Source organism: Homo sapiens, chromosome 3 (genome assembly GCF_000001405.40).
Source record: "Homo sapiens chromosome 3, GRCh38.p14 Primary Assembly".
Classification (NCBI taxonomy): Eukaryota; Metazoa; Chordata; class Mammalia; order Primates; family Hominidae; genus Homo; species Homo sapiens.
In genome coordinates this window covers 192193848-192205888 of record NC_000003.12, presented here as the reverse complement: position 1 = coordinate 192205888, position 12041 = coordinate 192193848, and the positions used below count along the sequence as shown (strand labels likewise).

The window sequence follows — 12041 nt, the reverse complement described above, 5'->3', positions numbered from 1 at the left end:
TAGCCATGCGGAATCCAGAGGTCTTCTTCTGTGTCCCTGCAGGGATGTAAAGACTGGAGTGGAATAGCTGGCATTCTCATCTTCTTCCACGCTTATCACACCACTTCAAGGCCTCCTCTATGATCCCATAATCAATTATAGCAGGGAGCCTGATTTCCAAATCTCTTCATCAGAAGTGGGCACCATTTTCTATGTTCTCAAAGGCCGAAAACATGAGGTGGCACAAGTCACATTTTTACAAGAACTTCTTAAGCACTCCCTACTCTGCCTACACCAACAGGACTACTGTTTATCAAGCACCCAGTCTAAGGATAAGATGCTAGTCTCTTCTTGCTGGGCACTTAAGTTTTATGCATAATATTCTTGGAGCTTCCTTCACTTAGCTTCAGGCAGGAGGGATATTCTCCCTTCCCCTAACTAATCCACAAGGAGGGAAGGGAATTGATTGTCCTCAGGAACGCTGCGTCTCTCAAAGACCTAGGTCCAAGAAAACCCTCTCTCATCTCTCATCCTTTTCTTATATTAACATGGGGGTAGGATATGGTATGGTAGTTGGCGGTATTTCTTTAATCTCTTAGAAAGTGCTATAAAGGGTAGATGTCTCTAATTCTAGGAAGCTTATTTAGAATGTGGGGTGGATAAGGTTGAATATTTTAATCTTGGATTTAGCTACAATTCTGGGACCACACAAAAATCTACTTAAAGACCTATTACACTAAGAGATTTTCTAAATTAGATTAATCTTTTTTTTTCTAATGGCTGTCATAATTTGTCCTCCCAAAAGATAACAGAGGATACTTCTTCCACAACACATGCTTAGACAGCATTTATATTAGGAGGAATGAGCAGTCCAAACTTAGGAGAGTAGAAAATCAATAGTGACCAAGTCTAAGGAAGAGAAATGCAGAGATAATGAAGCAGAGCTGTGCATACTTCTTCCAAGGAGTGCAAATTTTTTCTTTCTTTCTTTCTTTCTTACTTTCTTTTTTTTTCTCTTTTTGAGATGGAGTCTCACTCTATCGCCCAGGCTGGAGTACAGTCTTGGTGCGATCTTGGCTCACCACAACATCTGCCTCCCAGGTTCAGGAAATTCTCCTGCCTCAACCTCCTAAGTAGCTGAGGCTACAGGTGCATGCTACCACGCCCAGCTCATTTTTGTATTTTTGGTAGAGATGGGGTTTTGCCACGTTGGCCAGGCTGGTCTCAAACTCCTGACCTCAAGTGATTCACCCACCTTGATCTCCCAAAGTGCTGGGATTACAAACCTGAGCCACCACTCCTGGCTCCAAGTGCAAATCTGAAAGTGAACTCCTGATATTATGGGACCTGCATAAAAGGCAACAACCTGACTTCACAGGTTATTAAAATGCAGCATATTTATCTGCCTGGATTGTGGCACTTTACAATTCTTGCTTCAGTAAAGTGTGACTAAAATATTTAGTGGCACTCTCTAATATAGTAGACACTAAACAAATATGGCTATTTAAAATTTAGTTCCTCAGTCATAATAACCACATTTTGACTGCTCAGTAGTCACATGTGGTATGTGTCTACTGTATTAGACAGTGCAGAGGTATACCATTTCCATCATTAGAGAAAGTTCTGCTGTACAGCTTTGCATGTTGAGACTCTTATTTGCTCTGTGATAAAGAAAATGGAATTTTCTTTCATCTTTTTGCTCAGATCTGCCGTGTGTGGGGCTAAAAGACATGGATTAGATGGATTCCTTTTCAAGTTTTTTTTCCAACTCAGTTTTTGGGTGACCTTCATCTAATACCTAGACAAATTGAAAAGTGAAATTTGCCATCTATCATTGGTTGGATCAAATCACACAATCATAATTAATAAATCGGACAGATTTGCTTTTTTTTTAACGACAAATTCTTTTTGGCCAATGAACCACTGGCCTTTATTTCTAAAAAGTGCAGTTATTCAGGGAGGCCCCTGACATGTCTAAAATTGAAATCATAGTAAAGAAAGTAAATTGCTGGGCATGGTGATGCATGCCTATAATTCTAGCACTTTGGAAGTATAAAGCAGGAGGATTTTTTAAGGCCAAAAGTTCAAGACCAGCCTGGGCAACATAGTGAGAACCCTGTCTCTACAAAAAAATTTTAAAAATTAGGTGGGCGTGACAGCTAATAATCTGAACTACTTGGAAGTCTGTAATCTATAATCTATAATCTGAACTACTTGGAAGTCTCAGATGGGAGGATCACTTGAGCCCAGGAAGTCAAGGCTGCAGTGAGCCATGATTGTGCCGTTGCACTCCAGCCTGGGGTGTCAGAGTAAGACCCTATCTTCAAAAAAAAAAAAAAAAAAGTAAAGAAAAAAGAGTGTAAGCTTGTAAGCTGACTCATTTATTAGAGACACCTAAGCTACTTCAAATGCAACATGTATCCAAATCCTTAGACATATAGACATGTGATATTTACAGAAGAGTTTAGCATGGCCTTCCAAATCTTAACTTTGTTTATACTTTTCAATAAGGATATGTGCAAATGAATGAAAATAAAGTTTTACCTCCCAAGTCAATTTCACATAATTCTAATTCCTTTTAACTAGAGAATATCTTGTTTAGAAGGATCATTAAGCTAGGTCAAGGTAAAAAACAGGTTATAAGACAAATGCATATGAAATCTACAACTTATAAGGAAAGAAAATACCAAATTAGTTCTATCAGTCCTCTAAACTACAGAAGAACATTATTTTTACCTAGTGTGCATGTACACACACACACACACACACACACACAAATATTTAATGCTTTTAAGTACATTTTTAAAAAAAATCTAAACAATACTTTGACTAGTCTTTTCCTCCTAATATTATATATAGACTGAAGTTTTTGAAAATAAAAGTAGCTGAGCCAATGAAATGCTTTAGCATTGTATTTTTACCATCAAGCACTGTTTAGCAGGCTGTATTTCCCACTTTTCTTCATTGATATCAGGAGCAAGCACTAGAAATATAGAAAATAAATATAAAATAATCACAAGTTCTTAACCTTATTTTTTTCAGTCTTTATCAGCTTCACGTAGAGAGCTGCTCACTGTGTTATAGCACTTTTTAAGTTGCAAAGCCTTGTCATATACATTATAATTTGTATTCCTCTAAGCAAGTAAAGTGGTAATTACTGGTATCCTCAACTTTCTGGTGATAGAACCCGTAGTTCAGAGATGCTAATGCTGCAAATTCACATAGGGAGAATAATAGAGCTCCCATCACTGCATTCCAACAATATGGCCTTTCCTCTACTATTCGGATATGAGACAAAATTAAATATTTTCTTGATTTTCCCTTACAATTAAAGAAACCGTTGTCAAAAACAAAAATAAAAGCTTCCAGCTTAGCATTTGCTTCAGTGTTGTATGAAAACAGAAAGTGCTTATTTCAATTAAAAAACAGTGTTTTTGCCTACATTAATTAGAACAGGCACATAATAAATCTGTGCCTAAGACCAAACACAAATGGAGACAAAAATCTTGGGCAGTTATCTGTGGCTTTAAATATTTGGATTTTGCTATCATGTAGACAAAGTACTCATGACCTTCCAAAGCCTGACATCAAAACTCTGTTTAGATCTTTCCTCTAATGCTTTCATTAGAGCTACCGGGCCAATCTCTGTTCTTGGGAACTGTGCCACTTCCTCAATCTGTCTGTTTCTTTTGCTGTTTCCTTCATCTTGCATTCCTTCTGCATTGGAACTTTCTGTTGGATACCTTACTTTTTTTTTCAGGGTCCCATCTCAAATACCACTCCACTTAAGACATTTTTGCATAGAAATAATCTTTGGTGTATTTACTTTTGTCATCTGAATGAGATAAATGGAAAAATTTGGCAGCATAAATTGTTCAAAGTCAATTTGGTAATTCACATTGAAGAAACATCCATATGTAAGAGATTATTAGAAATAAAGCCTTTTAAAGAATGTATTGTTAATAACTATTAGTAGATTTGTTCTTGGTAAATAGAAGAACATTGTTCCCCAGAGGTTTATGTGTATATTCCATATCTGAAAATCAATGTGCACAAACACGGGGCTGTTATTAGCAAAGTCATTAATTACAGTCCTGCTTGCTCTTCTATTATGAAGAATATTCATTCGTTTGCTTTCTCTGACTGACAGGCAGTAATGACTTCAATAAGCTAATGAGACATCTAGTTAAATAAATATGATTTTAAGTTAGTAAAAGTGTAAACATGATTTTAATGAGTTCCTAGGCTAATAGAGTTTCCACAGTTATGGGCTGATGGTGGTGGTATACAGAGAGGGATGAATATAAGACTGGGTTCCTATTCAAGCTCTGCGGGTTACAAGATGTGTGGCCTGATTGGAGCTATATCAGTTCTCTAAACTGTAGTCTCTGGGCTTACTGCATGGAGATGTGGTGAGGATAATGTCAAATAACTCACATTGACATTGTATTTTGTAAAATGGCAAGTGTTAATTAAATGCATAAAAATGAATTTTAAAGACCTGTAGAGTAGGTGTCCACTCACACCTTCTTGATAAAGCTTTGCCCTTGCCTGCCCCTTTCTGAATATTTCCATTTCAGTTGTTGTGTTCCATTTCCATTCCCCCACACATATAATGAAATCTGTTGTCCATCCAATATGTGTCAAAATTTGACTTTAGAAAACAGGACAATGCTAAAGAGATCAATCAAGAAAGCAGAGGAAATTACACATTTAGAACATAAAGTACAGCTTAGCACCTTGACTCCTTCCATATTCATACATCATCTCATTCCCTAAGGATCCAGTGTTAACCAGCTAACTTAGTAAAGAGATATATACCAGTGGCCCCCTACAGATGACCCTTCACAATTAACAGAGGGATTATCTGGAGACATCTGAAGCTGTACCCCTTTATGAAAACTTTCTGTGCTTTTATTAGCTTTTTCACCTGGCTGTCAAAGCAGGATACTTTTACCATCTCTTAAAGTACTGAGGTAGCCTACTCACTCATTTTTTTTTTTTCACACAAAAGCCTGGTTCTTCTGGTTCTAATGGGAGCCTATTACTAATCTTCTGACAAATAATATAAAATACAGAACCACTTTGTGACATCCATAAACTTAAGGAGCATAGGCCTTGCTAGAGAAACTAAATCTATGGTGCTGTAAAGAGTCGAGATAGCATCTTGTCCCCATTCCCTCTCCCATTTTAATGACCATGAGAGGACAAGTATGTCTTGTCCAGGATCACATGGCAAGGTACTGACGGAGTTTGGTCTGTCTTACCAAGCACTCACTGACACTGCAGTCTACACTTGTGAGGCTTTGATAATCGCTGGCATGTGAAGATGCTCCAGTAATTAGTGTACACATATGGGGGAAACAATGTGGGAGGATATTTGGCTTCCTACGTGAAAGTTTCTTTCTTAATGTATTACATGTTATCTCTTGGATCTAGTGTTTTTCTGGTTTAAACTGGAGAAGGAGAAACAGTACACAGCAAGTGTTTTTATTCCTGTTTGATTGGCATTCTCATTTTATTATGATTTTAATATCTTCATGTTCCCAAACATGAATAATTTCTATTGCCTTTTTTTTTTAAGATGGACTCTTGCTCTGTCACCCATGCTGGAGTGCAGTGGCACAATCTCGGCTCACTGCAACTTCTGCCTCCTGGGTTCAAGCAATTCTCCTGACTCAGCCTCCGGAGTAGCTGGGACTACAGGAGCACGCAGCCACACCCGGCTAATTATTTTTTTTTTTTTTTGTATTTTATTAGAGATGGGATTTCACCATGTTGCCCAGGCTGGTCACAAACTCCTGAGCTCAGACAATCCACCCACCTCGGCCTCCCAAAGCGCTGGGATTACAGGAGTGAGCCACTGCACCCGGCCTTTCTATTGCTGTTTTGATTTACCTCTTTAGCATTGCTCTGTTTCCTGGAGCCAGGGAGCAGTACGTTTCATCTCTAAGAAATCGACTTGAAAATCCCTGAGCAAGTACATGTATATGATTGGCCTTTGATATATGAATCATTCTGGTCATAAACCTAGAAAATACCCTTTAGTCCATCTGAACTGTGATGGTTTTATTCTTGAGCTTTCCTGGCGTAAGAGTGGCGTATGATACAATCACTTTCATCTTCACTGTTTTCAGAGTGGGAGGAGGAGGGAGGAGTTAGATCTCATAAACAGCTAGACTACCTTTTTATTTTTTGCCTTTTCAGATTGGCAAGGAATATCATTTATTGCATCTTTTAATACCCACTTACAAGATTTAGCTTTTCTCAGATGGCCAAATAATTATCCTTTATTCCTAAACTTCATGCACTGGCTCTCAAACCAAATGCAGGTTAGGTGAGGTTTCTACATTTATTGGCCTGCTTGTGAAAGAAGGCCACATATACATTTGGCCTCCATTTGTTAGCTGGCTTCACTAAGCTACTTGGTATTTGCAGACAATGCTGTTTCTTTGTCCTAATCATCTCCTTCCCTCTCAAGAAAGTAAGAAATCTCAAATACGGAGGACATCTGATCTGAACTGTTATGATGTATGTCTTACATGAAATGCTATCCTTGAGTGAAACGTTAGGGAGGTTGAATAGAAAAAGACTGAACAGGAGCACAACTCAGTACACTTACTACTTAGTTTTCCTTTTCAATTTTGTTAGCATTCTGTTTTAGGCTCATAGGCTCTTAGACATAGAACAGATCTGAGATTATCTCATCCCTTTTCTCCCCTTGCCCCATTTTATGAATAAGTGAGGCCAAGAGAGACGAAGTAACATGTCAGCATTTGCAACTTTAGTTAGCATTGTTACTGACTTCAGCTCTTTCCCATTTGTTCACACATCTTGCACATATCTTCCTTGAAACGGTGCTGAGAAGAGCTAAATTAGCTTACTACTAAAGATTATTCTGATTAGTCTTTGTTTCTCCTGATTAACCTAAACAACACATGTGTAAAATTTTCCAGAATGAAAAGATTATATAAGTTTGGGATAGTCTGTTAATGAACTATTGCCCAGTGATGAAGAAACTACCTTAAAAGCCACTAAGAGCTGTGTCTCTGGTAGTGTCCAGAGAAGCTGAGTAAACAACATGAAATTTCCTTTTGATGGTGGACACTAGCATGTTGACCTTATTTACCTCTTCACTGTAATAATTAGGACTTTTCAAAACATTCCTTAGTTATTTACATATTTCTAACCAGTTGGGTCATGATATTGGTAATTACAAATTTCAGGAATTTGGAGAACATCAGATTTGTAAGCTTTTTTATATTCCCCAAATCTTAATTTTCATGAAATCTTTCTAATATCCTCAGCAGTCTATTTTAGACTCATAGGCACTTATACCTAGAGAACAGATATAGAAATTATCTTGCTGCCTTCCTTCTCTCACCCTTTTTTCATGGCTGAATAAGTGAGGTCATGAAAGGTAAAGCAGCATTTCAACATTTACAAATTTAGTGAGCATTATTACTGATTTTAGCTTTTTTTTTCATTTGCTCAGTGGTTTTTATGCTCAATCTAATGTACAGATTCTTTTTTACTCAGGTTAAAGGTTAGAAAATAGATATTAACTAAAGCAATGAAAAAAATCTTGTCAGTTTTAAAGGCCATTAATTCCCTAATCGCCATCAGTGAACATTTGCTTCTAATTTTCAAGTGCCTGAAAACATTTTGGTCATAAAAAAGTTGAACATTCTCTCCTAATCCTATTTATGTGATTCATTTGCTTTTCATATCTTTTTATCAGAATACAAAATACTCAGCTCTCTGCCTTTAGAATGGATGCACCGTTCTGGATCCTTTGGGGTCTTTCTTTTATTCAAAATTTGTACAAAACTATAAAGTTAAGAAGTTTGTTGACAGCAAATTTGCTGATATTGTGAGAGAAGAAGTTAAAAAAAAAAAGTTGGCTTTGTAGTTTGGCACTCGGGACCCCCGGAGGACTTTTTTTTTTTTTTTTTTTTTTTTTGAGGAGGAATTTCGCTTTTGTTCCCCAGGCTGGAGTGCAATGGCATGATCTCAGCTCACTGCAACCTCCGTCCCCTGGGTTCAAGTGATTCTCCTGCCTCAGCCTCCCAAGTAGCTGGGATTACAGGCATGTACCACCACGCCCGGCTAACTTTGTATTTTTTTAAAAGAGACGGGGTTTCTTCATGTTGGTCAGGCTGGTCTCAAACTCCCGACCTCAGGTGATCTTCCCGCCTCGGCCTCCCAAAATGCTGGGATTATAGGCGTGAGCCACCACATCCGGCCCCCAGGAGGGCTTTGTAAAGGCCATCACTATTCTCCCTTCATCTGTTACCTCATTGGTGAGTTCAGGCACTGTAGAGGCCCCTTGGATAGGATGGAAATGTGAAAGCAACACATTTCCCTTCACTGTTTCAAATGCAGAGGGACTTATAAGGTCCTTATGATCTTTATGGTACTTAATCTAGATCATTTTATAAAAGCTAGACAAAAAAGGAGATATAACAACACAACACTGCAGTTCAAATGTCGTTACCTTCAAAATTAAATTTCATATAACGCAGACTTCGTTTTATCCCCAATATAAAAACCTCACACTGAATATTAAACATCTTTAAAAATGAGTACAGAAGGACACACGATACGTGTTTGAAACTGATTGCCTGATCTTGAAGTTCACAGTAACTGTCTATAGAGTTTCATGTAGGCACCGAGAAGAATACAGAGTGTAAAACAAACATCACTAAAAATACATTTTTATACTAGGATTTTCCAGAAAGACTTATAGAAAATTGCACATGTACTGCCGAATCAGAGATTGTGGTGGGCCAAATCTAAGCAATCAATAGGAACAGTAATCCATTATAATTTTTAGATAATTAATTCTAAGGGAAATCTTTGAGGGGGCTCTTACCTTTCCTTAGATTTCTGGTAACTGCACATCTTATCTAACAAAAACAGAAACCCCAAGCATCTCATAACCGATCTCTTTCCTGAGTCTGTTAAGTAGATACTGGTTTTCTGTTCACTGTCTTATTAAGTTATTTTCTGTAACTACTGCTTAGTTGATTTCTTGCTGAAAAAAAAAAATACTTGTCTTTGCAAATATGGTCTCTGAAAACTGAATCTATAATTTTACCCTGTGTCTTCATTTGTATGCTCAAGACTGTCAAATTGTCACACACAAAAACTAAATAGATTTAAATGGTGGAAAGAATGCTACAAAATGCTGTCACGTCTACCTTGATGGTTCACATTTAGAGTGTTATTTTTGACGGAAAGTTAGAAATTTACACCCTAGAATATTTTAGTTATTAATTTTATCTACATTTCACATTCTTTACAGCCAAACATGTTGCTAAACAGCTTTATGGCATAGATGGGATTTTTTTTTTGTCTCCCAGGCAATTAAAAAGCTCTACTGTCCCATCAGATATGCTTATCTAATAAGCTCTAAGTATTGGCTAAAAAATGAAAAGTGGCATCTCACCTCTCTATTGTTTATAATGATCTTTTACATTTCAGAGCATTACATTTTGTTGTGTTCTAACACTCCCATTTAAAAACTTTGCCCAAGGAATTAAAAAATGTGCTATTTACCCAGATTAGTTTTTAAATCTCAATTTTTAAGGTAATATTTGGAACAGTCTTTTGTGTCTTTTAAAGTTGATGGACTCTTTTTTCATCCGTCCATTGAGGAACACTTGGGTTGATTCCATTATCTTGTTTATTGTGAATAGTGCTGCAATAAACATGGGAGTGCCAATCTCTTTGAAATCATGGATGAAACTGGAGGATATTATATTATGTGACATAAGCTAGACACAGAAAAACAAATACCACATTATCGCACTCATGTAGAATCTATAAACTCTAAACTCATAGAAGTAGAGAATAGAATAGTGGTTACCAAAGGCTGGGGTGGTTGGGGGAAGGGGGAATGGAGAAATGTTCCTCAAAGTGTATGTAATACAGTTAGATGGGAGGAGTTAAGTTCAAGAGATCTCTTCTATAGCATGGTGACTGTAGTTAAAGAAGACATATTGTACTCTTGAAAAATGCAAAGTGGATGTTAAGTGGTCTTACCACAAAAGTGATAACTAGATGAGGTAATACATTTGTTACTTAGGTATATTTAACCATTTCACAATGTGTGTGTGTGTGCGTGTGTGTGTGTATACACACATACATACATACATACATATATACACATACATACATATATATACACACACACATTGTGAAATGTGTATATGTATATACATATAGTTATACATTGCTTACAATGGGGATACATTGTGAGAAATTTGTCATTATTGCAAGTTCATTGTGTGACTATCGTAGAGTATACTTACAGAAAACTAGACGGTATAGCTTACTATACACCTACACTATGTGGCACAGCCTATTGCCGCTAGGCTACAAACCTGTCCATTTATGGAATAATGTAGGCAATTGTAAATAACGGTAAGTGTTTTTGTATCTAAACATAGAAAAGGTACAGTAAAAACTTCAGTGTTACAAGCTTATGGGACCACCATTTGCACATGTGCTCTGTTTTTGACCTAAATGTTTTGAGGTGCATGACTGTATTTCAAAACATCATGTTGTACACGATAAATACGTATAACTGTATCTGTCATTATAAACGTGTAACAAAAATCATGGACTCTGACTTTTCTCTTTGATCATTTAAATGGTAACGACTTTAGTTGAAATAAAATCCTCATGAAAAATAACACAAAAGGCCAATGATACATTACATATAAAAAAAATTTGTTTTGTTCCCACTTCAAAATGAGAGTTCACGATGCCTTTGTTGAAAGAGGTAAGCAATTGGTGGGCCCTCCGGGCTACGTATAGGACTGCCAATCTGCATCCTAGTTCTGGCTCCAAGACAACCACAATGGGAGACAGAATACTTGGTGGAGATGCTTTTCTCCATTAAACTGTAAACCACTTGAGGACAAAGTCAGTCAGCATGCTTCTTTTACCACAACCCTTTGCACGATATCTGACCCAAAGCAGGTATCTTGTAAATCCTTGCTATATAAATTAGTTAAATTAAGCCTTAACATTTAATATTGGTTGCACTGTATTTTAATTTTTTATTGGTGAGAAATCTGAAAAATATGTTATAAAAATGATCAAATTCCTTACTAAAAAAGCGTACATTTAAAAAGTCTTATTATAGTTAGGTAGAGTGAATAGACTCCACAATGTTTCAAAGATAGTATTGGTTTTTAAACTGTTAATAAAGTTACATTTCTATGAGTATCCTATCAGGAAAAACTTGACACACTCTGAATCCATCCATATGATAGTCATGGACAGAAAGAAAAATTCCACCAGGTATATACTATTTTATTTTTAGGTTGTCAAACATCTAAATATATATGAAAATAAGTCCATGTGGAAATACCCAGATGTTTAGTGCTGTGAATGAAAATTTCATCCAGAGTAATATGAATGTATAGCTCTATGGTATTATCAGTGTCAATTAGACTCTAAGCCACAGTTTCATTTTGTAAGTGGAGAAATGAGAATCTCCAGAGTTTCATAGCTCTCACTCAGCCTGATTCAATGATTTTAGTTACCACCTGATCCTCTGAGGTATGCATTATCCTTGCACTGGGTGAGAAAATACTAATCACTGGGTCAGTGTGCCAAAGAGGCTCAGCATACTTTGAGGCACAAGCTTTAACAATTTGGGCAGACCACAAGATAAGCATAATGAGCTAAATCTCTTGTCATACATTTTACAAATTTCTGACCTATGTGAATGGATTTCTGCTTTATATAAATCAGCTGCTTGAAGGAATAGAAAGCTATGCATTTTATAAAATATGTGCCTACATTTAAAACCGCTCAGATTTATTTTTGAACATTATGTTAGGACCAGAAATACAGGGCTGTATGAGTTGGAGAAGTGACGTTGTTTTAGCTAGAAAAATATTGCTTTTATTTTTTCTACATACTACACATCCCTGCTGGCCCAGTATGTATATTTGGTAGAAAGAAAAGTTGAGAAAGCTATTTATTCACAGTCAAACTCAAGTACACGAAGATGAGCCGACTGTAATTGCTTTGTAGGACAGGCC

At 36.8% G+C, this 12041-nt stretch overlaps 1 protein-coding gene across 7 annotated transcripts in view; it reads left to right on the top strand.

Moving 5' to 3' along the window:
- FGF12 (fibroblast growth factor 12) overlaps positions 1–12041 on the top strand; it is a 588152-nt gene that overhangs the window by 521653 nt on the left and 54458 nt on the right. The window lies entirely within an intron of this gene.